This window comes from Homo sapiens, chromosome 2 (assembly GCF_000001405.40).
Source record: "Homo sapiens chromosome 2, GRCh38.p14 Primary Assembly".
In the NCBI taxonomy this organism is placed as follows: domain Eukaryota; kingdom Metazoa; phylum Chordata; class Mammalia; order Primates; family Hominidae; genus Homo; species Homo sapiens.
The window spans coordinates 70,047,635-70,072,632 of record NC_000002.12 but is presented as its reverse complement, the minus strand read 5'-3'; the positions used below and the strand labels follow the sequence as shown (position 1 = coordinate 70,072,632).

Sequence of the window (24,998 nt, the reverse complement as noted above, 5' to 3'; positions counted from 1 at the left end):
CTCCTGCCTCAGCCTCCCCAGTAGCTGGGAGTACAGGCACTCACCATCATGCCTGGCTAATTTTTTTATTTTTAGTAGAGACAGGTTTCATCATGTTGGCTAGGCTGGTCTCAAACTCCTGACCTCAAGTGATCCTCCCGCCTCGGCCTCCCAAAGTGCTGGGATTACAGGCGTGAGCCACTGCGCCCAGCCACCTGGCCTTTTTTTATTTTTAAGAGATAGGGTCTTGCTTTGTCACCCAGGCTAGAGTGCAGTGGTGTGATCATAGCTTACTGTAGCCTTGAACTCCTGGGCTCAAGTGATCCCCCTGCCTCAGTCTTCTGAGTAGCTGGGACTACTGTGTGCCACCACACCAGGCTAATTCTAAAAATTTTCTGTAGAGGCTGGGTGCAGTGGCTCACACCTGTAATCCCAGCACTTTGGGAGGCCGAGGTGGGTGGATCACTTGAGGCCAGGAGTTTGAGACCAGACTGGCCAATGTGGCGAAACCCCATCTCTACTAAAAATACAAAAGTTAGCTGGGCATGGTGGTTCACATCTGTGATCCTACCTACTCGGGAGGCTGAGGCATGAGAATTGCTTGAACCCAGGAGGCAGAGGTAGCAGTGAGCTGAGATCGTGCCACTGCACTCCAGCCTGGGCAATAGAGCGAGACTCTTTCTCATAAAAAAAAAAAAGAAAGAAAAATTTTTGTAGAGACTGGGTCTCGCTATGTTGCCTGGGTTGGTCTTGGACTCCTGACCTCAATCAGTCCTCCCGCCTTGGCCTCCCAAAGTGCTGGGATTACAGGCATGAGCCACTGTGCCCTGCTGAAAATTATTTCTTGTTTTGAATTGAAATCTAATTGAGACTTCTCATTAATTTAATTTTTGTTTTTATTTATTTATATTTGAGACGGAGTCCCACTCTGTCACCCAGGCTGGAGTGCAGTGGCACGATATCGGCTCACTGCAACCTCCACCTCCTGGGTTCAAGTGATTCTTCTGCCTTGGCCTCCTGAGTAGCTGGGATTACAGGTGTGTGCCACTACGCCTGGCTAATTTTTATATTTTTAGTAGAGATGGGGTTTCACCATGTTGGCCAAGCTGGTCTGGAACTCCTGACCTCAGGTGATCCTCCCACCTCAGCCTCCCAAAGTGCTGGGATTACAGGCGTGAGGCACTGTGCCCGGCCTAATTTTAGACCAGTACCCCGGAACTATACAGAATAAATGTAATACATCTTCCACATGCAAACTCATGAACCTTTGAAGACAGTCTTCCTATGTGTAAGACATATTTGCAGTTTATCCTAATACCTAAACTTGCTTTCAGTTCAGATCATTCTGCACAGAAACAATTTCTACTTCTCCCTACTTTGTAAATGCAGTCTGACAAATCTGTGCTTCACTTAGGATTATTTAGTTACAAGGTGAGTATGCTTTCCTTTCCTCCTTGAAGAATGAATTGATGGTGAGCTAAGTCTTTACAATTGTCTGTGAGTTTGGAGGGTTTGCAGTCTCCTACTCTTGTAATCATTAGGAGGTCAGGCTGCTGCCCTGCTGCATACGCCATCAGAGCTCACAAAATGGCTGGAAGTTTATCCGGGCACTTGACAAACTGCATTTACTTCATCAGGCCACTAGGTGATGAACAACTCACAAACCCAGACTGCCAGGGACTGTGGTGTACAGGGCAGTTTCTGTTTATACTTGGAAAGGCCATTCGAAGTCATCTGGTCCAAACTCATTAAAAGGTTTTTGTTGGGGAGGGGAAACATGTTTTTTATATAGTTTGTCTTTCCTGGCTTTGTTACAGTTAAATGTTAATTGCCTGGGACATTTCCTTTTTTTTTTTTTTTTTTTTTTTTTGATACGGAGTCTCACTCTGTCACCCAGGCTGGAGTGCAATGGCACAATCTCGGCTCACTGCAGCCTCCGCCTCCCGGGTTCAAGCGATTCTCCTGCCTCAGCCTCCTACAGGCGTGCGCCACTGTGCCCAGCTAATTTTTGTATTTTATTTTTTTAGTAGAGACAGGATTTTGCACTGTTAGGCTGGTCTCGACCTACTGACCTCATGATCGCCCGCCTTGACCTCCCAAAGTGGTGGGATTACAGGCGTGAGCCACCACTTCCAGCCAAGTAGGACATTTCTTTGAGTGATTTTCTTAGAAGGGGGGCATGAGTGGTACTTTCAAAGTCTTTTTATGTCCAATTTCTTTTTAACCTTCGTGTATGAATGATATTGTGGTTAGGTTTAGAATTCTTGGAATACTAGTCCTAGTCTCGACAAAGTCTAAGTAGCTTTCCAGTGTTTTGAGTTTCTGGTGATACAGATGAGAAGTCCAATGGGATTTTTTTTCCTTGTAAGTAATAATCTGTTCTCTTGTTCTGGAAGTTTGTGAATTTTTATTTATGCTTAGAGTTTCCTGTGGTATGCTTCTGGTATGTCTTTTTTTTTTTTTTTTTTTTTTTTGAGATGGAGTCTTGCTCATGTTACCCAGTCTGGAGTGCAATGGCACGATCCCAGCTCACTGCAACTTCTGCCTCCTGGGTTCAAGCGATTCTTCTGCTTCAGCCTCCCGAGTAGCTGGGATTACAGATGCGTGCCACCACGCCTGGCTCATTTTTGTATTTTTAGTAGAGATGAGGTTTCGCCGTGTTGGCCAGGCTGAGGTGTATGCCTTTTAAAAATAACACTTGTTGGCACTTGATGAGCCTTTTAGACTTAAAAACTTAAAGTCTTTTTTCTGTTCAAGGTTGTTTTATTGCTTCCCTTTCTTTTTTTTTCCAACCTCCTTACTTTATAGAACTCAGAAAGGTGAAGTGACTTGTCCAAGCTCATATAGCTAGTTACAGATGAACCTCAAGCAAATAACCTGACTCCTTTGATGAACTAGACTTTTGTGTATTGAATATTGCTCCATTGAGAGGGCCATTATGAACAACTTAGAAACTTTTTAGTGAGACAGGAATTTTGCCAAGCCTTTGTGGGGAGATGAAGAAGGAAGAAGAGATAAAATTCATTATTTGTGGCCCATTTGAAGGGCTAAAGAATTCGCAAGTTCCCTGGTATCTCAGTTATTGAGCTACCCCGAAGCTCTAAAATGTAATAAAACCAGGAAGTTGCTTGAGCACTTGGAGAATTAGATTTTTAGTAGTCAGGAGTTGGATAAATGTGGTCATGCCCTATTGTAAATATCAAAAACATATAAATGGCATCCGAAGGCTTGGAGACAGACATCATAAACCATGTCTTATCAGTGGTCTGGTTTCTGTTTTGAGTTCCAACCTGGGATGCTTCTGTGGGAACCACCTGTTCCTGGCTCTGTTGATCTTTGGATTTCCCCAGCCCTTCAGTCCCTTTCAGTTTTGAAATGAAACCTACCCCAGAGGGCGAGGTCAGGTTACGAAGAGGACTTTGACAGCTCACCTTGGGTTGTTTTTTTCCCCCAGAGCTGTCTAGTGTGTGACTGTGTGAGGTGTGAGGCTCAGCAGGCTGTGATACAGATTAATTGATGGTGAATCAGCTGTTGGGTAAGGCCTGGGCTGTGTCATTTTTTGGGTAACCAGGAAAACATGACCAAATACATTGTCTTTCATCTATAGAAAGTTGAAACTTAAGGGTACAATCACCAGAAAGCTGCCCATGATCTCTGCCTTTGGTTTACTGACGAAGGAAAGGCTTTTTTTTTTTTTTTTTTTTTTTGAGACAAGAGTTTTGCTCTTGTTGCCCAGGCTGGAGTGCAATGGCACAATCTCTGCTCACTGCAACCTCCGCCTCCTGGGTTCAAGTGATTCTCCTGCCTCAACCTCCTGAGTAGCTGGGATTATAGGCATGTGCCACCACGACTGGCTAATTTTGTTATTTTTTTTTTTTTTTTAGTAGAGACGCGTTTTCTCCATGTTGGTCAGGCTGGTCTCGAACTCCCGACCTGAGTCAGGTGATCCGCCCGCCTTGGCCTCCCAAAGTGTTGGGATTACAGGCATGAGCCACTGTGCCTGGCTGAAGGAAAGGCTTTAACTTGCCTTCATCTTTCCTCATTTGTAGATCTTCCTTACCTCCTTTCTATTCACATCTCTAGCTTCCTGCTGCTGCTCTAGCTACTAAACCTTTACATAATGTGCCTTTTGGAATTGGTGCTTTGGAAGTGACTCCTCTAGATACCCCTAGAAACCCCCGTTCTCCAGCCAGACTCACAGAATGCAGCTTGCCGCCTCCTTTTTCTGTAAACCTGGTTTCCATAAGATTGCAGCACTTCATTTGGAATCTTTACAAGTGAAACTAGCTCTTTCTTCAACCCACTCCTTACCACTTCACCCCTGACTTTGCCTGACTGTACTTCAGCCCCATTCCTCAGCACTCCAGAGCTGCCTCCAAATGGCCAGATACTTTCAGATACCTTTTGCTCTTTGAAATTTCTGCTGGCCAGGAGGCCAGCAAGGCCACTTGATCACTGTCCTTGAAGCTGGCATCTATACCCATTTCCCCTGTGTGTGTTGCGATTTTGGTGTCTGATCTCTCCTCCTGGGGCTATAGCCCAGGCTCAGAGATTGGTGACCAGGGCTTGCCTGGAGCCAAGGATTTGGGATAGAGTGTGGACTTAGGGGGCTTGGTGTTAACATTTCAGAGGTAGACAGATGAGAAGCCAGAATACGTGAACCTCAAGGCCAGTGGAGGATGGGAAGGACAGAGAGAATTTAGTATCTGAAGCAAAAGATGACCTTTGTAAGCTTCTCCTCCTGCCCAATCTTTTTGAAAAATTATTTAATTTACAGAGAATATAATAAATGATATTTTTAAAATACCAAAACATTGTAGATCATATTTTGGCTATTCCTGTCTCCCCATTTCAGTTATTTCTGTATTCACTAGAGGTAATGTATTGGTGATTTGGAATGTACCTGCCATACTTCTTCCTGTGTGTTTATTTACACATGTATGAACCCAGAAAAAATTTAAAGTATTATTTTTTGTTTTATTTAATTCTCTATACAAGTGATATAACATCTTATGTATCATTCTGGTATTTTCTTCTATGATTTAATAACATGCTTTGACAGTATTCCATGTTAGTACAAACAGGCATATCTCATTCTTTTTGGTGCTGGATAGTATTTCATAGAATGGATATGCTGTATTTTATTTGGCTATTTTTCTATGAAGACATTAAGGTATTTCCAGTTTTTGGGTGATCTCAACCTCTTTGGCAGCTTCAGTTACCATCTACACGTGGATGATTCCCAAATCTCCAGCCCAGATCTCTAGACCAGATTATCCAATTGCTTACAACCCCACTGGGATGTCTTGCAGCCCCCTGCTTTTTCTCACTTGCTCCTTCTCCAGTGCCCAATCATATACATTATAGACAGTATGCAGCGGCTAAAGCCCCAAACCCAGTAATGATTAATCATTCCTTCCTTCCCTTCCCACGTCTGACAACCAGTCACTAGGACTTGTCCTCCCTACCTCCTCAGTATTTCTTGAATCTAATCATTTTCCCTCTCCATTGCTACTGCCCTGTACGTTAGTTTTTAAATTTATAAAAGAGTACTTCTGAGGATTAAGTGAATTAATATATATAAGATGCTTAGAATAATAGATTGGTACCTACTAATTGCTATGTGAATCTTAGTTGTTATTATCATCATCTTAGTTTATATAATCCATTATCATCACTGCTTCCAGTCTTAATTTTATTCACCCCTACCTCCATTCCAGTCTCCACACTACAGCCAGAGTGATCTTCATAAAATGGAAGAATGGGCCAGGCGTGGTGGCTCATGCCTGTAATCCCAGCAATTTGGGAGGCCGAGGTGGGAGGATCGCTTGAGCCCAGGAGTTCAAGGCAACATAGTGAGACCATGTCTCTACAAAAAATAACAAATTAGCCAAGTGTGGTGCTGGTGAACATCTGTGGTCCCAGATACTTGGGAGGCTGAAGTGGGAGGATCATTTGAGCTTGGGAGGTTGAAGCTGCAACGAACTGTAATGATGCCACTGCACTCCAGCCTTGGTGACAGAGGGAGACCTTGTCTCAAAAAAAAAATAAAGTAAAATGTAAGAATGATTGCTTAAATGATAATTCTCCTGCTTAAAAAGATGTCAGTGAGGCCAGGCGCAGTGGCTCATGCCTATAATCCCAGCACTTTAGGAGGGAGGCCAAGGCAGGTGGATCATCTGAGGTCAGGAGTTCGAGACCAGCCTGGCCAACATGGTGAAACCCCATCTCTACTAAAAATACAAAAATTAGCTGGGCGTGGTGGCAGGCACCTGTAATCCCAGCTACTCGGGAGGCTGAGGTAGGAGAATCACTTGAACCTGGGAGGTGGAGGTTGCAGTGAGCTGAGATTGCGCCATTGTACTCCAGCCTGGGCAACAAGAGCGAAACTCCATCTCAAAAAAAAAAAATGATGTTAGTGATGTTTCCATTGAACTGCTTTGTGTTTTGGAGACAGAGTCTCTGTCTCCTGGGCTTGAGTGCAATAGCATGATTTCGGCTCATGCAACCTCTGCCTCCCAGTTTCAAGCGATTGTCCTGCCTCAGCCTCCCAAAGTGCTGGGATTATGGGTGTGCACCACCATGCCCAGCTAATTTTTGTTATTTTTAGTAGAGATGGGGTTTCACCATGTTGGTTAGGCTGGTCTCGACCTCCTGGCCTCAAGTGATCTTCCCACCTCAGCCTCCTGAAATTCTGAGAGTACAGGCGTGAGCCACTGCACCCAGCCTCCATTGAGCTTTTAATGACTTCATTTTATTGAGATACCTGATTTTTCTTTTCTTTCCTTCCTTCCTTTTCTTTTTCTTTCTTTTTTTTTTTTTTTTTTTTTTTTTGAGTCAAAAGCCTCGTTCTGTCACCCAGGCTGTAGTGCAGTGGTGTGATCATAACTGACTGTACCGCTCTGGGCTCAAGGGATCTTCCTGCCTCAGCCTCCCCAGTAGCTGGGACTAAAGGCATGCGCCACCACACCTGGCTAATTTTTAAAAAAATTTTTTGTAGAAACGAGGTCTCACAGCTGGTCTCTGTGCCACTGCACCCTGCCCCTGCTTTTAAATGCTATCTCTTCAGACAGGTCTTCCCTTGACTATCTAATGATTCTAAAGTATCTACCCATATGCTTTTATTAACATCACCTGATTTTAATTCTGTGATCGCACTTATCAATATATTATAATTTTCTGGTTTATTTACATATTTGTTTATAGTCTTCTCCAATTAAAAGAGAACAGGAATATTGTCTTTTTTTTTTTTTTTTTTTTTTTGAGATGGTGTCTTGCACTGTTACCCAGGCTGGAGTGTAGTAGCGCCATCTCGGCTCATTGCAAGCTCCGCCTCCTGGGTTCATGCCATTCTTCTGCCTCAGCCTCCTGAGTAGCTGGGACTACAGGCGCTAATTTTTTGTACTTTTAGTAGAGACGGGATTTCACCGTGTTAGCCAGGATGATCTCGATCTCCTGACCTCATGATCCACCCGCCTCAACCTCCCAAAGTGCTGGGATTACAGGCATGAGCCACCCACCGCACCTGGCCTTTTTTTTGTTTTGTTTTGTTTTGTTTTGAGATGGAGTCTGGCTCTGTTGCCCAGGCTGGAGTGCAGTGGTTCGATCTCGGCTTACTGCAATGTCTGTCTCCTGGGTTCAAGCGATTCTTGTGCCTCAGCCTCCTCAGTAGCTGGGATTAGAGACGTGTGCCACCATGCCTGGCTTAAGTTTTGTATTTTTAGTAGGAACAAGGTTTCACCATGTTAGCCAGGCTGGTCTTGAGCTCCTGACCTCAAACGTTCCGCCTGCCTTGGCCTCCCAAAGTGCTGGGATTACAGGTGTGAGCCACTGTGCCTGGCTGATATTGTTTGTTTTATTCATTGTTGTATTCCTAGCACCTAGGACAATGTCTGACACATTATTGACAATACTTGTGAAGTGAATAGTAAAACAACTTTCTTTGTCCTATTAGGCCCTTTTGGCCTCTCCAGCATCATCTGCATCAGTCACCTATCTTGACCTTCCCATCCTCCAGCTCATGACATCTCTTTAGATGTGCTTTCTTGCTGCAAGGCCTTTGCGTGTGCTCTTCATTGTGCCTAGAACACCCTTCCTCCCATGCTCTGCCACTGCCTGGATATCTCCTATTCATCATCTAAGTTATAGCTTAGTATACATATAACTTCACCTGATTAGCCTTGATCCTACAACTCTGCATGCATTGCCATTAATTATCATATGTATTGTAATTATTTTGTTGTCTGTGTCCTTCACTAGACTGTAAGCTTATGTTGTGCTCACCATGAATTCCTAGTCAAAGCTTATCAGCAGTGGCTAGAAGGACCTTTGAGGTGGGGCACTAGGGAGGGGGATAGAGTATTGGGGGCAGCACCTGAGGTCTAGGAAGCTGTGCTTTAGGATGTCAGGGTGAGTTTTAAACACTGGCCCTTGGTTCATTGTCATTCTTCCTATTTCGTCCATCTTTGGTAATTCCCTTGTTTGCCTGGATGAACCATCTAAAATGATTAAGTCATATCCATGAAACCAGGGTAAGCCTGACACAAAACACTTGCTCATGAAGGGAGCATGTGTCCTGAGGATAAAGGTTGAGAATCTGGGTAGGCATATTATTAACTTCAGGTAGCTGAGGGCAGAATAACTGACAGCGGAGTAGAATTCTAAGCAAGGAAGGAAGCAAAAGGCCTGAAGGATAAGATGAGACAAGGCTGAAGCAGGATCATTAAATCATAAACCTGGAGCACCTGGATAGTGAGTAGAGTGTAAGAAGGAACAGGGCAAGCAATTCAGGATTAGAGTCATAAATAATCTTGGGGATTACTTAAATCATCTTTTAGCATTCTTACCTCTTTAGTTTGGAACCAGCTTTTGGATTATAGAAAGGATCAGATAGTTGACATACAAGGATTTGAGTGAGAGTGTATATTACTTTCTCTGTATTTTATGGGCTCTTTACTTTAAAATGAAATCCCCAGAAATCCTACCTTAACTTTTCCCCCACCTAAATTTCTGCTGCCAAGAGCCTATCCATTCTTTTAAATATGTCAGGTTCAACTCCCTTATCTTTGAAACAAGTTGCATGTACAGAAGCCTGCAGTAGTCCTGGAGCTTCCTTCAGACAGGGTGAAGGGAGTGAGCTCTCTTCAGGCTACCTCCTCCCACTGAACCAGGCATAGGAGCTGGCCTCAGCAGCCTTAGGAGTTCAGGACTCTGTTCAACATGAATCTGTGGAATTTCTCTCTGAATTTTGGGGAGAGAGTATTCTGTAGAATATAGTACGGGACTCTGTCAGTGAGGCATAGCAAAAAGTACTGGAAGACTGGCTGGATGTGTGTGAATGGTGGGATCCGAAGGTATGTAGGAGTGGGCATCAAGGTTTCTGACCTGGCTCTTAAATTTTGACAGCGTTAGGGGGCACTCATGTGCCAAGTAGAGAGTCTTGAGGGGTAGCGCTAGTCCCTGGCCCTTAGAGGTGTTCTGAATGTTTTTGTATGTAGCTCAGAGCTCTTTTGCAGGCTGATGGGGATTCATGAAGATAGAGTACTTACTGAGGAACGGTGTGTTCTGTTTTGAAGATTGGATGGAGTGGTTATGTGCACAGACTGGGCAGTCTATGGCCTGGTCATCTAGTCTCTGTGAGGTGAGGCACCTGCATTTCCTTCCTAGGGCCATGCTGGGAAAACCAACCTAAGAGAGCTGGAGATCATGACTATTGTTAGTGATTTCCCTGAGACTGCTAACTGTCTTTGCTTGCTCCTTCTGTTCTCTTAAGTCCCATGGCTGTAATGTCCTGCCTTCTATTTTCTGCTTTGGGACCTTCAAATTCCATAATTCATTCAGACTTCTCTTTCTAGAGACAAGGTCTCGCTATGTTGCCCAAGCTGGAGTGTGGTGGCTGTTCACAGGCGTGATCATAGCACACTACAGCACTGAACTTGAGCTCAAATGACCCTTCTGCTTCAGCCACCCAAGTTGCCGGGATATAGGTGTGCACCATCACACTTAGCTCAGACTGCTCTGTCTAGATTACTTAATGCCCAGCTTGACTCTGGCTTTACATAGTACTCTAATTATGACATTGACAGCCAGCTTCAAGTAAGGGCCTTTCTTCATTAGCCTTGTTCCTAGAGCTATGGTTTTGAAGCTTTAGTGCATCAGAATTACCCATGAGGGTGAGAGAGGGGGCGCTGGATACTTGTTTAAAATGCAGATTTCCTGGTATCAACTGCTAGATACTCTAATTGAGTAGGTTTGGGGTGGTGACCAGGAATCTGCAGCTTGATCAGCCTGCCAGGTGATTCTGACACCAGTCATCTGGTCTCCAGATCATATATATATGTATTTTTTTGAGATGGAGTTTCGCTCTTGTTGCCCAGGCTGGAGTGCAATGGCACGATCTTGGCTCACTGCAATCTCTGCCTCCCAGGTTCAAGCAGTTCTCCTGCCTCAACCTCCCAAGTAGCTGGGATTACAGGCACCCGCCACTATGCCCAGCTAAATTTTTTTTTTTTTAATTTTTTGTATTTTTAGTAGAGACGGGGTTTCACTATGTTGGCCAGGCTGGTCTCGAACTCCTGACATCAGGCAATCCACCCACCTCAGCCTCCCACAGTGCTGGGATTACAGGTGTGAGCCACCGTGCTCAGCCAAAGATATCTATGATATCTATTTTCTCCTTTTTTTTTTTTTTGAGACAGAGTTTTGCTCTTGTCACCCAGGCTGCAGTGCAATGGAGTGATCTCAGCTTACTGCAGCCTCCATCTCCCAGGTTCAAGAGATTCTCCTGCCTCAGCCTGCAGAGTAGCTAGGAATGCAGGCGTCCACCACCACACCCAGCTAAATTTTTTGTTTTTATTTTTGTATTTTTAGTAGAGACAGGGTTTCGCTATGTTGGCCAGGCTAGTCTTGAACTCTTGACCTCAGGTGATCCACTTGCCTCCCAAAGTGCTGGGATTACAGGTGTGAGCCACTGCACCCGGTCCTCCAGACCATATTTAGAGAAAAGGCAGGGAAAAGATTTGAGTTCTTTACTTGGATCCTGCAGTATCTGGTCCTTGCATGTTTCTCAAGTCTCATCCCAGGCCCCTTCTTCCCTACTGCTGGCACCTTCATCTGCTCACAGTTCGTTGACCCCTTCTCCAGTAGTTTCTGGCCTGAAGGCCTTTGCAGTGCTGTATAGCCTCTGCCTGGAACACTCTTTACTGTGCATAATGTCTCAATTAACTATCCCTAGGTTTTTTTTTGTTTTTTTTTTTTTTTGAGACAGAGTCTCACTCTATCACCCAGGCTGGAGTGCAGTGGCATGATCTCAGCTCACTACAACCTCTGCCTCCCAGGTTCAAGCGATTCTCCTGTCTCAGCTTCTCAAGTAGCTGGGACTACAGGCGTGCGCCACCATGCCCGGCTAATTTTGTATTTTTCATGGAGACGGGGTTTCTCCATGTTAGCCAGGCTGGTCTTGAACTCCTGACCTCAAGTGATTCACCTGCCTCGGCCTCCCAAAGTGCTGGGATTACAGGCATGAGCCACCGTGCCCGGCCTGTCCTTTGCCTTTAATTGTCAAGTAAGCATTATCTCCTTTTGAAGGGCTTTTCTGGCCGCTCTATATAAAGAAACTGTTAGCACCCCATTTGTTTACATAAGACCACTTAACTGTTTGTCTTTCTCTCCTGGTGGGTTTTAAGCTCTGTGAGGGCAGGGAACTTGTTCCTGGTTATGTATCTTCAGGGCCTAGTATGTAGAGACACTCAATAACTACTTGTTGACTAATCCACATTTTTATTTTCATGTTAGTATCTGTGTTGTTGGATCGTGTGTCTGCACAACTTTTTAAAATTGAGACAGAGTTTCGCTCTTGTTGCCCGGGCTGGAGTGCAGTGGAGCGATCTCAGCTTACTGCAGCCTCTGCCTTGCAGGTTCAAGCAGTTTTTCTGCCTCAGCCTCCCAAGTAGCTGGGATTACAGGCATGTGCCACCACACCTGGTTAATTTTGTATTTTTTTTTAGTAGAGACGGGGTTTCACCGTGGTGGTCAGGCTGGTCTCAAACTCCTGACCTCAGGTGATCCAGCTGCCTCGGCCTCCCAAAGTGCTGGGATTACAGGCGTAAGCCACTGTGCCCGGCGACTATGCCCAACTCTTGCCCTTTGTATGTATTGTTGCCTTTGCCAGAAACACCCTTTCTCATGTCAATTTGGCAGATTCCTTCTTGTCCTTTACTACTTCTTTAAGCATTTCTTTGACTTCTGAGACAGTGCAGGTTCAACAGAGACAGCACTTTGTCCTCTTTAATAGGCTTTTTTTTTTTTTTTTTTTGAGATGGAGTCTCACTCTGTTGCCCAGGCTGGAGCGTGGTGGTGTGATCTCGGCTTACTGCAACCTCTGCCTCCTGAGTTCAAGTAATTCTCATGCCTCAGCCTCCCGAGTAGCTGGAATTACAGATGTGCGCCACCACACCCAGCTAATTTTTGTATTTTTAGTGAACATGGGTTTTACCATGTTGGCCAGGCTGGTCTCAATTTCCTGAGCTCAGATGATCCGCCTGCTTCGGTCTCTCAAAGTGCTGGGATTACAGGCATTAGCCACCACACCTAGCCTTCTAACAGGCTTTTCAACCATATATTGTGATTTTACCTGTGTAGGAGATAGATGGTAGCGTCTGTCTTTTACAGTTGACAACCCAGAGGCTCTAAGACAGGTGTCCCCAACCCTAGTCTGTGGCTCATTAGGAACAGGTTGCCCAGCAGGAGGTGAGTGAGTGGTGGGCGAGTGAGCAAAGCTTCATCTGTGTTTTTACAACCATCACTCGCATTACTGCCCGAGCTGTGCCTCCTGTCAGATCAGCGCAGCATTAGATTCTCATAGGAGTGGGAACTCTATTGTGAACTGAGCAAGTGAGGGATCTAGGTTGCATGCTTCTTATGAGAATCTAATGCCTGATGATCTGTCACTGTCTCCTATCTCATCTAATTGCAGGAAAACAAGCTCAGGGCTCCCACTGATTGTACATTATGGTGAGTTGTATAATTATTTCATTATATATTACAACATAATAATAATAGAAATAACGTGCACAATAAATGTAATGTACTTGAATTATCCTGAGACCATTCCCTCCCCTTTGTCCATGGAAAAATTGTCTTTCATGAAACGGGTCCCTGATGCCAAAAAGGTTGGGGACGTCTGCTCTAAGAGATTAATTAACTTGGAAATGGCAGAACTGATACTTGAACCCTGATGTATCTAAGGAGCCCTCATTTCTACCTCACTATGCTCCCTCTAAGAAAACCAATCAGTGTGCATACCTATGTAACAAACCTGCATGTTCTGCACATGTAGCCCAGAACTTAAAGTATAATTAAAAAAAAAATTCAATTTACCATAAAAAAAAAAAAAAAAAGAAAACCAATCAGCAGACTGAGAGACACTGAAGTGAAAGAGGTGCTTTTAAAAAAATTAGTTGGTGGGCCAGGCACGGTGGCTCACGCCTGTAATCCCAGCACTTTGGGAGGCTGAGGTGGGCGGATCACGAGGTCAGGAGATGAGACCATCCTGGCTAACGTGGTGAAAACCCTGTCTCTACTAAAAAAAAATACAAAAAATTAGCCGGGCGTAGTGGCGGGCGCCTGTAGTCCCAGCTACTCAGGAGGCTGAGGCCAGGAGAATGGCGTGAACCTGGGAGGCGGAGCTTGCAGTGAGCCGGGTTGGCGCCATTGCATTCCAGCTTGGGTGACAGAGTGAGACTCTGTCTCAAAAAAAAAAAAAAAAAAAAAAGTTGGGTAATAAAACTTAAAAAAAAATTTCTGGCCAGGTGCGTAATTTCTGCCAGTAATCCCAGCATTTTGGGAGGCTGAGGTGGGAGGATCACCTGAGGTCAGGAGTTCAAGACCAGCCTGGCCAACATGGTGAAACCCTGTCTCTACTAAAAATACAAAAATTAGCCGGGTGTGCTGGCAGGCGCCTGTAATCCCAGCTACTCAGGAGGCTGAGGCAGGAGAATCGCCTGAACCTGGGAGGTGGAGGTTGCAGTGAGCCGAGATCATACCGTTGCACTCTAGCCTGGGGTACAAGAGCGAGACTTTGTCTCAAAAAAAAAAAAAAAAAATTTCTTCAGAGTAAAGGCGTGGTGGTTTACACCTGTAATTGTAGCACTTTGGTAGGCTGACACAGGCTGTCACTTGAGGCCAGGAGTTCCAGGCCAGCCTGGCCCACATGGCAAAACACTGTCTCTACAAAAAATACAAAAATTAACTGAGTGCAGTGGCGCGTGCCTGTAGTCCCAGCTACTTGGGAGGCTGAGGCAGGAGAATCGCATGAACCCGGGAGGTGAAGGTTGCTTGAACCCAAGAGGTGGAGGTTAACTCCAGCCTGGGTGACAGAGTGAGACTCAGTTTCCTCAGAGTTAAACACGTAAAATGAATAATTTTGACAAGAAATTTATAAAGACAGCAGAGTGTAAAGGGTGACCATAGCATTGAGAAGATGATGTGTATTTCATGTATTTCCTTGATCATATCCGTGATTCCTTGTGGTACTGATAAAGCCAACACATACAGCCTGGTAGAAATGAGCTTGGCCATGCGTGTTGGCTCACGCCTGTAATCCCAGCACTTGGGGAGGTTGAGGTGGGCAGATCACGATCAAGACCATCCTGGCCAACATGGTGAAACGCTGTCTGTACTAAAAATACAAAAAATTAGCTGGGCATGGTGGCATGCGCCTGTAGTCCCAGCTACTCGGGAGGCTGAGGCAGGAGAATCGCTTGAACCTGGGAGGCAGAGGTTGCAGTGAGCTGAGATTGTGCCACTGCATTTCAGCCTAGCCACAGAGCGAGACTCTGTCTAAAAAAAAAAAACAAAACAAAAAAATCGTTTTACTGGCTGGGCGCAGTGGCTCATGCCTATAATCCCAGCACTTTGGGAGGCCGAGGCGGGTGAATCACTTGAGGTCAGGAGTTCAAGACCAGCCTGGCTAAAATGATGAAACCCCATCTTTACTAAAACTACAATAATTAGCTGGGCGTGGTGGTGCATGCCTGTAATCCCAGCTACTTGGGAGGCTGAAGCAAGAGAATTGCTGGAACCTGGGAGGCGGAGGTTGCAGTGAGCCGAGATCACACCACTGCACTCCAGCCCGGGCAACAGAGCAAGATCCTGTTTCAAAAAAAAAAAGATACATAATGGATGGTTGGTTGCAGGAAAAAGAAAAATGACACAGATATACATAAACAAGCTGATGTGGAACAATCTCCAAGATCTGTCATTAAGAGAAAACTAAAGAAAAGTGCAAAATTGTATTTATGGTTAGTGTGCTAGTGTTAGCATTTATATGTAAAAAGAGGAGAAACTCTGTATACTTGTTATATACCCATACTGTTTCTGAAAATTTTCTTTTTCTTTCTTTCTTTCTTTTTTTTTAATAGAGATGGGTTTTCCCTGTGTTGCCCAGGCTGGTCTAGAACACGTGGACTCAAGCAATCCACCTACCTTGGCCTCCCAAAGTGCTGGGATTACAGGCATGAGCCACCATGCCTGGCCTTTTTGTTTTTTAATATCCTTCTCTGTTGCTGAATTTTTTTTTTTCACATATGAACATTACCTTTTTAAAAAGAGTAGTTGTGAGCTGGGCGCGGTGGCTCACGCCTATAATCCTAGCACTTTGGGAGGCTGAGGCGGGCAGATCACCTGAGGTCAGGAGTTTGAGACCAGCTTGCCTAACATGGCAAAACCCAGTCTCTACTAAAAATACAAAAAAATTAGCTGGGTGAGGTGGCGCACGCCTGTAATCCCAGCTACTCGCGAGGCTGAGACGGGAGAAACACTTGAACCCAGGAGGTGAAGGTTGCAGTGGCAGGGAGCCGAGATTGTGCCACTGCACTCCAGCCTGTGTGACAGAGCAAGACTCTGTCTAAACAAAACAAAACAAAACAAAAGCAGTTGTAAAAAAACACACATAAAATTTACCATCTTAACCATTTTTAAGGGTATGAGAAATTGTAAAAAACAAACGTAAAATATGCCATTTTAACCACTTTTTTTTTTTTTTTTTTTTTGAGACGGAGTCTCGCTCTGTCGCCCAGGCTGGAGTGAAGTGGCGCGATCTCGGCTCACTGCAAGCTCCGCCTCCCGGGTTCACACCATTCTCCTGCCTCAGCCTCCCGAGTAGCTGGGACTACAGGCGCCCGCTACCACGCCCGGCTAATTTTTTGTATTTTTAGTAGAGACGGGGTTTCACCGTTTTAGCCGGGATGGTCTCGATCTCCTGACCTCGTGATCCGCCCGCCTCGGCCTCTCAAAGTGCTGGGATTACAGGCGTGAGCCACCGCGCCCGGCCTTAACCACTTTTAAGTCTTTACATTTTGGTAGTCTTAGGTATATTCACATTTTGTGCAGCAGATCTCCAGAACTTTTTCATCTTGCAAAACTGAAACTCTGTACCCATTAAACAACAACTCTTCTTGCCCTACCCCTCCTTTCTCTCTGGTACCACCATTCTACTTTCTGTTTCTATGAATTTGGATACTTTACTACCTCATATAAATAGAGTTATACGGTATTTTTGTGTGTGTGATGGGCTTATTTTACTTAGCATAATGTGTTAGGGTTCATTCATGCTCTAGCATGTGACAGGATTTGTTTCTGGTTTAAGGTTGAATAATAATCCATTTTATGTATGCATCATAGTTTAGCCATTCATTCATCAATACGTTGCCTTTTTAAAAATTTTAATTTTTAATTTTTTTGTAGAGACGGAGTCTTGCTATGTTGCCCAGGCTGGTCTTGAACTCCTCACCTCAAGCGATCCTCCCGTCTTGGCCTCCCAAGTGTCAGGATTACGGGCATGTGCTATCACACCCAACCTGATACATTGCCTTTATAAATTTTTTTTTCTTTATTCTAAAAACCAGAAAAAACAAAACTGGATACATGTGCAGAACATGCAGGTTTGTTACATAGCTGTACGTGTGCCATGGTGGTTTGCTGCACCTATTGACCTATCCTGTAAGTTCCCTCCCCTCACCCCCACCCCCCAACAGCCCTGATGTGTGTTATTCCCTTCTCTGTATCCATGTGTTCTCAATGTTCAGCTCCCACTTATGAGTGAGAATGTGTGGTGTTTGGTATTATGTTCCTGTGTTAGTTTGCTGAGGATGATTCCAGCTTCATCCATGTCCCTGCAAAGGATATGATCTCATTGCTTTTTATGGCTGCATAGTATTCCATGGTTTATATGTACCATATTTTCTTTATCCAGTCTATCATTAATGGGCATTTGGGTTGGTTCCATGTCTTTGTTATTGTAAATAGTGCTGTAATAAACATACGTGTGCGTGTCTTTTTCTTTTTTTTGAGACGGAGTCTTGCTCTGTCGCCCAGTGGCATCAGAGTGTAGTGGCACGATCTCTGCTCACTGCAACCTCCACCTCCCAGGTTCCAGTGATTCTCCTGCCTCAGCCCTCCTGAGTAGCTGGGATTACAGGCGTGCGCCACCACGCCTGGCTAATTTTTGTATTTTTAATAGAGACAGGGTTTCACCACGTTGGCCAGACTGGTCTCAAACTCCTGACCTCAGGTAATCCACCTGTCTCGGCCTCCCAAAGTGCTGGGATTATAGGCGTGAGCCACCTCGCCTGTCCTGAGTGTTTTTTAAAAGTACTTTGCTTCACCTTATAAATGTGATCCTGAAAAGCTGGGTATAAACATTGTACGTATATATATGTATGTATGTATGTATGATGGATAGTTTAAGGGGTGGTTAAATAATATCTTAGTTAACTTTACAGCAAAGAGGAGACTCTTTTTTGTCTTGTGAATGATCCCCAACTTTATGTCTCAGATGTTTGTATTAGAGATTTTTCTTGAAGTAAAACCTACCTCTACTAGGAATGGAACCAAAAAGGGGGAGATGTGGTTATTTGAAATTGAAGATAGCTGTATATACCAGGACATCCCATCGTTTGTCTTACTTTACCCACTTCTCCATTTGTTTTACCAGCATCTCTGTTTTCCTGTTCCATGCACTAGAAATCCTGGAGCCCTCTTATTATTTTATTATTTATTTATTTATTTATTTATTTATTGAGACGGAGTCTTGCTCTGTCACCCAGGCTGGAGTGCAGTGGCGCGATCTCGGCTCACTGCAAACTCCGCCTCCCGGGTTCACACAATTCTGCCTCAGCCTCCTGAGTAGCTGGGACTACAGGCGCCTGCCACCGCGCCGGGCTAATTTTTTTGTGTGTATTTTTAGTAGAGACGGGGTTTCACCGTGGTCTTGATCTCCTGACCTTGTGACCCACCCGCCTCGGCCTCCCAAAGTGCTGGGATTACAGGTGTGAGCCACCGCGCCCACCTATTTTTTATTTTTTGAGACGGAGTCTCACTCTGTCACCCAGGCTGGAGTGCAGTGGCACGATACCGGCTTACTGCAACCTCCGTCTCCTGGGTTCAAGCGATTCTCCTGCCTCAGCCTCCTGACTAGCTGGGATTACAGTAGAGACGGGGTTTCACCATTTTGGCCAGGCTGGTCTTGAACTTCTCACCTTGTGATCCACCCGCCTCAGCCTCCCAAAGTGCTGGGATTACAGGCGTGAGCCACCGCGCCTGGTGAGCCCTCTTATTTTTATAACATGCTTCCTATGTGTTGATTTTGTTTTCCCTATTAGGGTAAATTTTTGAAGGCAGGAGGCATCTCTTATATCCTGTAGTGATGAGCATAATACGAGTTGTTCAATAAATACACATTTGGCAAAGATGAGAGAGGTGGAGAGAGAAAGAGGTTCCTCTGCTGAAGAAGTGTGATTACTTTTGGGTTTTGTCTACCTCATGTGGTACCCATTTCTAGCAGGGAATTTCTTCCACTTGCAGACCAAGTGTGTTGGGGACTTGAGATGCGTACATGAGTGTGATGTTTCCTGCTGAAAGCACAGGTAAGAGAGCTGAAGCCAGATTGGGGCCTGAAGAATCAGACTTGATAGTTTGTAGACTTCTGTGATAACCCTGAGGAGAGAATCTCAGGTTTCTATCCTCTGCTTAACAACAAGCCTGAATATTTAACTATAAGCAGGGCAGCTGGACCTGAATGTGCTTTAGGCGTCTTAAATTCAGTAGTACATAGTAGGAATGTTTGATAAAAGTGATTTTACTTTTTTTGTCAATAGTGTATGAAAGCACTTAACACAGAGCCTGGCTTATAGTTGGTGTCCAAGAGGTGACAGAGAGTATGTGAGAAATGTTTTGAAGTAGTTGAGTCTTTCCCTGAGTGCCCTGCCTCCACTCATGTGCCTATACCCCCCACCCCAGGCTAAAGATACAGGCACCAACAATGTGGATTTCACCTTTGGGAAGTTTCCAGTTCCTTGTTTGTGGCATTATGCTCAAACAAGAAGTGTAGTCTGCTCTTACATATGTAAGAGCAGATAGATCTGAACCCTGGCTACCCTCACCCCAGACTGAAAATGTTTGAATCAAACTAACATGTCTGGTCACCCTCGGCAGCTTTCCTTCGTAGGGACTTAGTCTCAAGAACCTTAGTGGGGAAATCTGTGAATCTCTGCGGTAAATGGGCAAGGCGGTGGATATGGGGGGTTGAGCATGAATTAACTTAGCCAGGATAGCTTATGAGTACAGGCATGGAGGAGAGGACATGGTAGGGGCCAAAAAGGGCTTGACTCTGTCATTTCTGCTCATAGAAAGATGTAGGCCTTGTGTGCCAAGGGTAGAGCTCTGGCCTCCTGTGGCCTTTCACCTCCATATGATGAGCCAGGCTTGCTCCCAGCTGTCCCTGCAGGGCATCTTGGGTTTTGTAGGGGATGAAAATAGGGAGTCTGAGTCAGGTGGCCTTGCTTCAAATCCTGCAGGTGTGCAGGGAGGAGTTGTGCCTCCCCAGGATCTGTTTCCTATGTATTGAAATAAGAGGAATCCCATCCAGATTCTGTGGAGGTTTCCTTCCATCCTTCTTATGTCCCTTTTTCACACTGTCACTGGCCTGGCTTCTGGGAAGAAGAGAGAAAGGATTAGAGAAATAAAGAACTTGAGGAGGTGTGTAGATTTGCTGTCCTTAAATTCTTTCTGGAGCAAAGTATAGGTATTGGGAGGAGGATCAGTGAATGGGTGCGTGAACAGATACGCTGCTTATACTGTTGCCTGGCACTCAGCCTGGACCCTTACTCAGTATTATTAATCTTGTTAGATGTTGGTCTACTCTCCCAGTTGGAATATGAGCATATATATGTGTAATTTTATATCAATGGAGTCATATCTTGTTACTGTTTTACCATCTTTTTTTCACTTGATTTCACTTGATTGAGGACATTTTCATGTCAATAAATACAGAATAAAGGGCTGAATTATAGTTCAGTGAGTGGATATAATACTGCTATTATTCTCTAATATTTAATCCATTTATTTTATCTGTTATCAGTGGGGTCTTCTTTGACTCCCGTAACAAGATAACAATCCTCCTTTCTTCCCTATCTCTCTTCCCTTCTATATTTTTCTCTATAGCATTTAGCATCATCTGATATATACTTTTCTTATTTATTTGCTTATTGCCTAACTTCCCTCCATTAGAATATAAGCTCCATGAAGACAGGGATTTTTCTTTTAAAGATTGTTTTATTATGCTAGAATCAGGCAGCATCTCATTCTATATCATAGAATGAGTGTTTCTACCCCTTTTTTTTGGAGACAGGGTCTCGCTCTGTCACCCACACTGGAGTGCAGTGGCATGATCTCGTCTCACTGCAAACTTTACCTCCTGGGCTTAAGTGATCCTCTTACCTCAGCCTCTCAAGTAATTGGGACTACAGGCATGTGCTGCTTCACCCAGCTATTTTTAAAATTTTTTTCTAAAGATGGGGTCTCAATGTGTTGCCCAGTCTGGTCTCAAACTCCTAGGTTCAAGCAATCCTCCCTCCTCAGCCTCCCAAAGTGCTGGGATTACAGGTGTCAACCACCACACCTGACCCTTTTTTCTTTTATCCATGCTCTATACTTGGTATTGAGAACAGTTCCTGGTACATCACTGATGCTTAATAAATATTTGTTGAGTGAATGAATTTGTTGGACATTTGGTATACTTATTGGGCTTTTTATTTGCAATATTTTGATTATTGTGAGCATTCTATGATAAACACTTGATATATACATCTTTGCATGCTTGTGCACTATCTCTTCAGGATAAATTCCAAGAAATTTGCCAGCTGAGTTAAAGGGTATGCATATTTAAAATGTCAATTCACGGAGCCAAACTACCCTTAAGAATATAAACTTCTATTAGCACATGAGATTGCCTGTTTTCCCATGTTTTTAATAACATTGGGTGTTGTATTTTTTGTCTTCCTCATCTGACAGGTGAGACGTGGTCTTGTAACACAGTGGTTAAGAATGTGACTTTGGAGCCAGCCTGCTAGGGGCTGAATTCTGACTCAGCCATTTACTAACTGTGTGACCTTAGGTAAGTCATTTACCTTCTTTGTCCCTCAGTTTCATCTCGGTTAAGTAGGGATAATGATAGCACCTATTTTATAGGGTTATTGTGAGGAATAAATCCAAGTAAAATGCTTAGAATAGTAACTGAAACATAGCACTCATTAGGAATGCTTTAATTTTCATTTATTTGAGTATTAAAGGTTGAATTTTCAGAGGTATTTTGGACCTTTGTATTTTTTCTTTAAATCACTTATTCATGACTTTTGAACTTTTTTTTTTCTTTTAGAGACAGGGTCTTGGTTTGTTGTCTAGGCTGGAATGCAGTGGTGCAATCATAGCTCACTGTAGCCTTGAACTCTTGGGCTCAAGAGATCCTCCTGCCTCAGCCTCGTGAGTAGCTGGGCCTACAGGCGCCTGCTACCACACCTGGCTAATTTTTTATTTTTTGTAGAGATGGGTTCTTGCAGCCCAGACTGGTCTTGAGCTTTGGCCTGAAGTGCTCCTCCTGCCTTGGCCTCTCAAAGCATTGGGGTTACAGGTGTGAAGCACTGCACCTTGCCTACACATTTTTTCCAATAATTTTTTTTATTAATTTGTAAGAGTTAACATGTCGACTATCATATATAACATAGAATTGTTCCCATTTTGTCATTTCCTTTCAACTTTGTCTATGTAGCTTTTTTTCTGTGTGCAAATTTTACATTTTTAGGTAGTCAGAAAATCTCTTCCCTTGTAATTTTTTCTGCTACTAGACCAATGTTTAGAAAAAAGCGTGCTTCCCCACCTCAAAATTATAAAAATAGTTACTTGTTCTTTTTGAGTACTGTGTGTGTTTAAATCTTTAATCTTTAAATTTAAATCTTTGATCCATCTGGTATTTATTTTGATATGAAGAGAGTGGTTGGGATCTGGCTGTATTTCTTTTTTCTTTTTTTTTCTTTTTTCTTTTTTTGACGAAGTCTCACTGTTGCTCAGGCTGGAGTGCAATGGCATGATCTCGGCTCATCACAACCTCTGCTTCCTGGGTTCAAGCGATTCTCCTGCCTCAGCCTCCCGAGTACCTGGGACTACAGGCACTCGCCACCATGCCCGGCTGATTTTTGTATTTTTAATAGAGATGGTTTCACTATGTTGGCCAGGCTGGTCTCGAACTCCTGACCTTGTGATCTGCCCACCTCAGCCTCGAAAAGTGCTGGGATTACAGGCGTGAGCCACTGCGCCCAGCCTTGTATTTTTTTTCAGTTTGGGTAGCTGTCCCTAATTCATTTGTTAAAGGAGAAGCAAGAGCAAGAACCTTTAATCTGTTCTCCTCTTCCCTAATTTGAAAGTAGCTTGTTATTTTGAATATCACTTTCTCTGAAATAGCACATCTCCATCTCAGAGAATGGATTTAATGTTTGGATACAGCCAAAAGTCATTTCATTACCAAACCATGGGGTGAATATACCATGTAAAGCAGTTTGGGATCAGAACTCACAGTCTGAATTGTAAGTGATGAGACTGCTGTCTCTCTGCTACAGCTTCTTGGCTGGCTCTGAAGGCTCTTTGAAGGCAGATCCTAACAAGGGGACTGCTTTGAAGGGCCATTGTTCATTTGGAATGATAAAGTCTATGTTGTTCAAAAAACAAATGCTTGTAGCAGGTATTTTTTCACTCCAGACTGAGAATATTGGTGGGATATTGATAAGGGGTACTGAATGGTAATAAACATGTGCTCTAGCTCTGTGCTAGTCAGCTTATTTCAGAACTCTAGTTTGATTCAGTTTCTTGCCTCTGACTCAAAATGGAGGGAGAGTGATTTTTACATAAGAGAACACACCCACATATCCTTTTGGCAGCAGCTACCTGCCAGAGATGTTGAAGAAGAGTAGCCAACCTTTACACAGCAGATATTGTGTGCCAGTCATAGTCCTAAGTATAATACCTTACATGTATAAACTTCTTATAAGGTTGGTGCTCTGTACCGAATTGAATAGTATCCCCCAAAATTCATGTTGTCCCAGAACCTATGAAAGTGATCTTACTTGAGGGAGGGGGGAGGGGGGAGGGATAGCATTAGGAGATATACCTAATGCTAAATGACGAGTTAATGGGTGTAGCACACCAGCATGGCACATGTATACATATGTAACTAACCTGCACATTGTGCACATGTACCCTAAAACTTAAAGTATAATAATAATAAAATAAAAAAAAAAAAGAAAGTGATCTTACTTGGAAATAAGGTCTTTGCACATATGATCAAGTTGAGATGAAGTTGTACTGGAAAGTCTGTCTAGTGACTGGTGTTGTCATAAGAAGAGAGGGACACAGAGGGAAGATGGCCACATGAAGATGGAGGCAGAGATTGCAGTTATGCTGCTGCAAACTAAGGAATGGCTCTGGCCCTCCAAGGATTGCTGATAACCACCAGAAACTAGAAGAGACAAGGAAGGATTCTTCCCTAGAGCCTTCAGAGGGAGCATGGCCCTACTGACACCTGGATTTCAAACTTGTAGCTTCCTAAACTGCAAGAGAATAAATTTCTGTTGTTTTAAGCCATATAGTTTGTGGTAATTTGTTATGGCAGTCCTAGGTAATTAGTGTACACTCTTACCATCTTCATTTTCAGATAAAGGAAACTGAGGCCCAGAGAAGTCAAATACTTTGAGATCTCTGTAGGCCCCTACTGTGCTGGCTGTGCATAGATTCCATACCTCCTGCTGTTGCTGTTGTTGGGTCTCCACCTTTACCATGGCCATCACCTCCTGGCAGTGCTGGAGCTGAGCTGCTGGAATAACTTGTTTTTCTTTTTTCTTTTTTTTTTTTCTTTTAAGACAGAGTTTTGCACTGTCCCCCAGGTTGGAGTGCAGTGGTGCGATCTCGGCTCACTGCAACCTTTGCTTCCTGGGTTCACGCCATTCTCCTGCCTCAGCCTCCCAAGTAGCTGGGACTACAGGCACCTGCCACCACGCCCGGCTAATTTTTTGTATTTTTAGTAGAGATGGGGTTTCACTGTGTTAGCCAGGATGGTCTCGATCTCCTGACCTCGTGATCTGCCCGCCTCGGCCTCCCAAAATGCTGGGATTACAGGGGTGAGCCACCATGCCTTGCCTCTTTTTTTTTTTTTTTTTTTTTTTTGAGATGGAGTCTCGCTCTGTCACCAGGCTGGAGTGCAGTGGCGCGATCTCGGCTCACTGCAACCTCTGCCTCCCGGATTTAAGCAATTCTCCTGCCTCAGCCTCCTGAGTAGCTGGGATTACAGGCACACGCCACCACGCCCAGCTAATTTTTGTGCTTTTAGTAGAGACGGCATTTCACCATGTTGGCCAGGATGGTCTCGATCTCTTGACCTTGTGATCCACCTGCCTTAGCCTCCCAAAGTGCTGGGATTACAGGCATGAGTCACCACGCCTGGCCTATGACTTGTTTTTCTAACACACCAGGCCATAGCCTTTCTTAATGTTTTGCCTGCTTCATACTGTAAATCAGAAACTCCTCTCGGGAGGCTTCTGACTGTAGCCTGACCATCTCACCTGATCTCTTCTCCAATCCCTCTTCCCCTCTCCCCTTTATTTTCCCTTTGCTATTTTTACTTTTCATGCAGTGTCAGA

General features: G+C 44.2%; 1 protein-coding gene and 1 long non-coding RNA gene across 93 annotated transcripts in view, besides 4 other annotated features; both read left to right on the top strand.

The window, feature by feature from the left end:
* Positions 1-24,998, top strand: part of ASPRV1 (aspartic peptidase retroviral like 1) — a 154,659-nt gene that overhangs the window by 14,743 nt on the left and 114,918 nt on the right. For 8 of the 10 annotated variants that reach the window (NR_170375.1, NR_170376.1, NR_170631.1 and 5 more), the window contains one exon: positions 21,328-21,430. The gene's annotated coding sequence lies outside the window, so the exon portion shown is untranslated. Of the gene's footprint in view, positions 1-12,952; positions 12,991-16,722; positions 16,920-18,840; positions 18,903-21,327; positions 21,431-24,998 lie in introns of all 10 variants that reach the window. The other 2 variants (NR_170636.1, NR_170637.1) reach the window with 2 other exon arrangements.
* Positions 1-24,998, top strand: part of PCBP1-AS1 (PCBP1 antisense RNA 1) — a 125,946-nt gene that overhangs the window by 15,576 nt on the left and 85,372 nt on the right. For 13 of the 83 annotated variants that reach the window (NR_183090.1, NR_183091.1, NR_183092.1 and 10 more), the window contains one exon: positions 21,328-21,430. This is a non-coding gene — a long non-coding RNA (PCBP1 antisense RNA 1). Of the gene's footprint in view, positions 1-12,952; positions 12,991-16,722; positions 16,978-18,840; positions 18,903-21,327; positions 23,947-24,998 lie in introns of those variants that run through there. The other 70 variants (NR_183117.1, NR_183116.1, NR_183120.1 and 67 more) reach the window with 24 other exon arrangements.
* Positions 1,475-1,544: an enhancer, noted in NCBI's record as "active region_15985". NCBI's record gives its function as "activates an Ori minimal core promoter by ATAC-STARR-seq in GM12878 lymphoblastoid cells {active_cell/tissue: GM12878}" and the evidence as "EXISTENCE:reporter gene assay evidence [ECO:0000049][PMID:35858748]".
* Positions 1,475-1,776: a biological region, named in NCBI's record as "Sharpr-MPRA regulatory region 12254".
* Positions 1,482-1,776: an enhancer, noted in NCBI's record as "tiled region #12254; HepG2 Activating DNase unmatched - State 5:Enh, and K562 Activating DNase matched - State 5:Enh". NCBI's record gives its function as "activates a minimal TATA promoter and a strong SV40 promoter by Sharpr-MPRA in HepG2 and K562 cells {active_cell/tissue: HepG2 | K562}" and the evidence as "EXISTENCE:reporter gene assay evidence [ECO:0000049][PMID:27701403]".
* Positions 3,223-3,302: an enhancer, noted in NCBI's record as "active region_15984". NCBI's record gives its function as "activates an Ori minimal core promoter by ATAC-STARR-seq in GM12878 lymphoblastoid cells {active_cell/tissue: GM12878}" and the evidence as "EXISTENCE:reporter gene assay evidence [ECO:0000049][PMID:35858748]".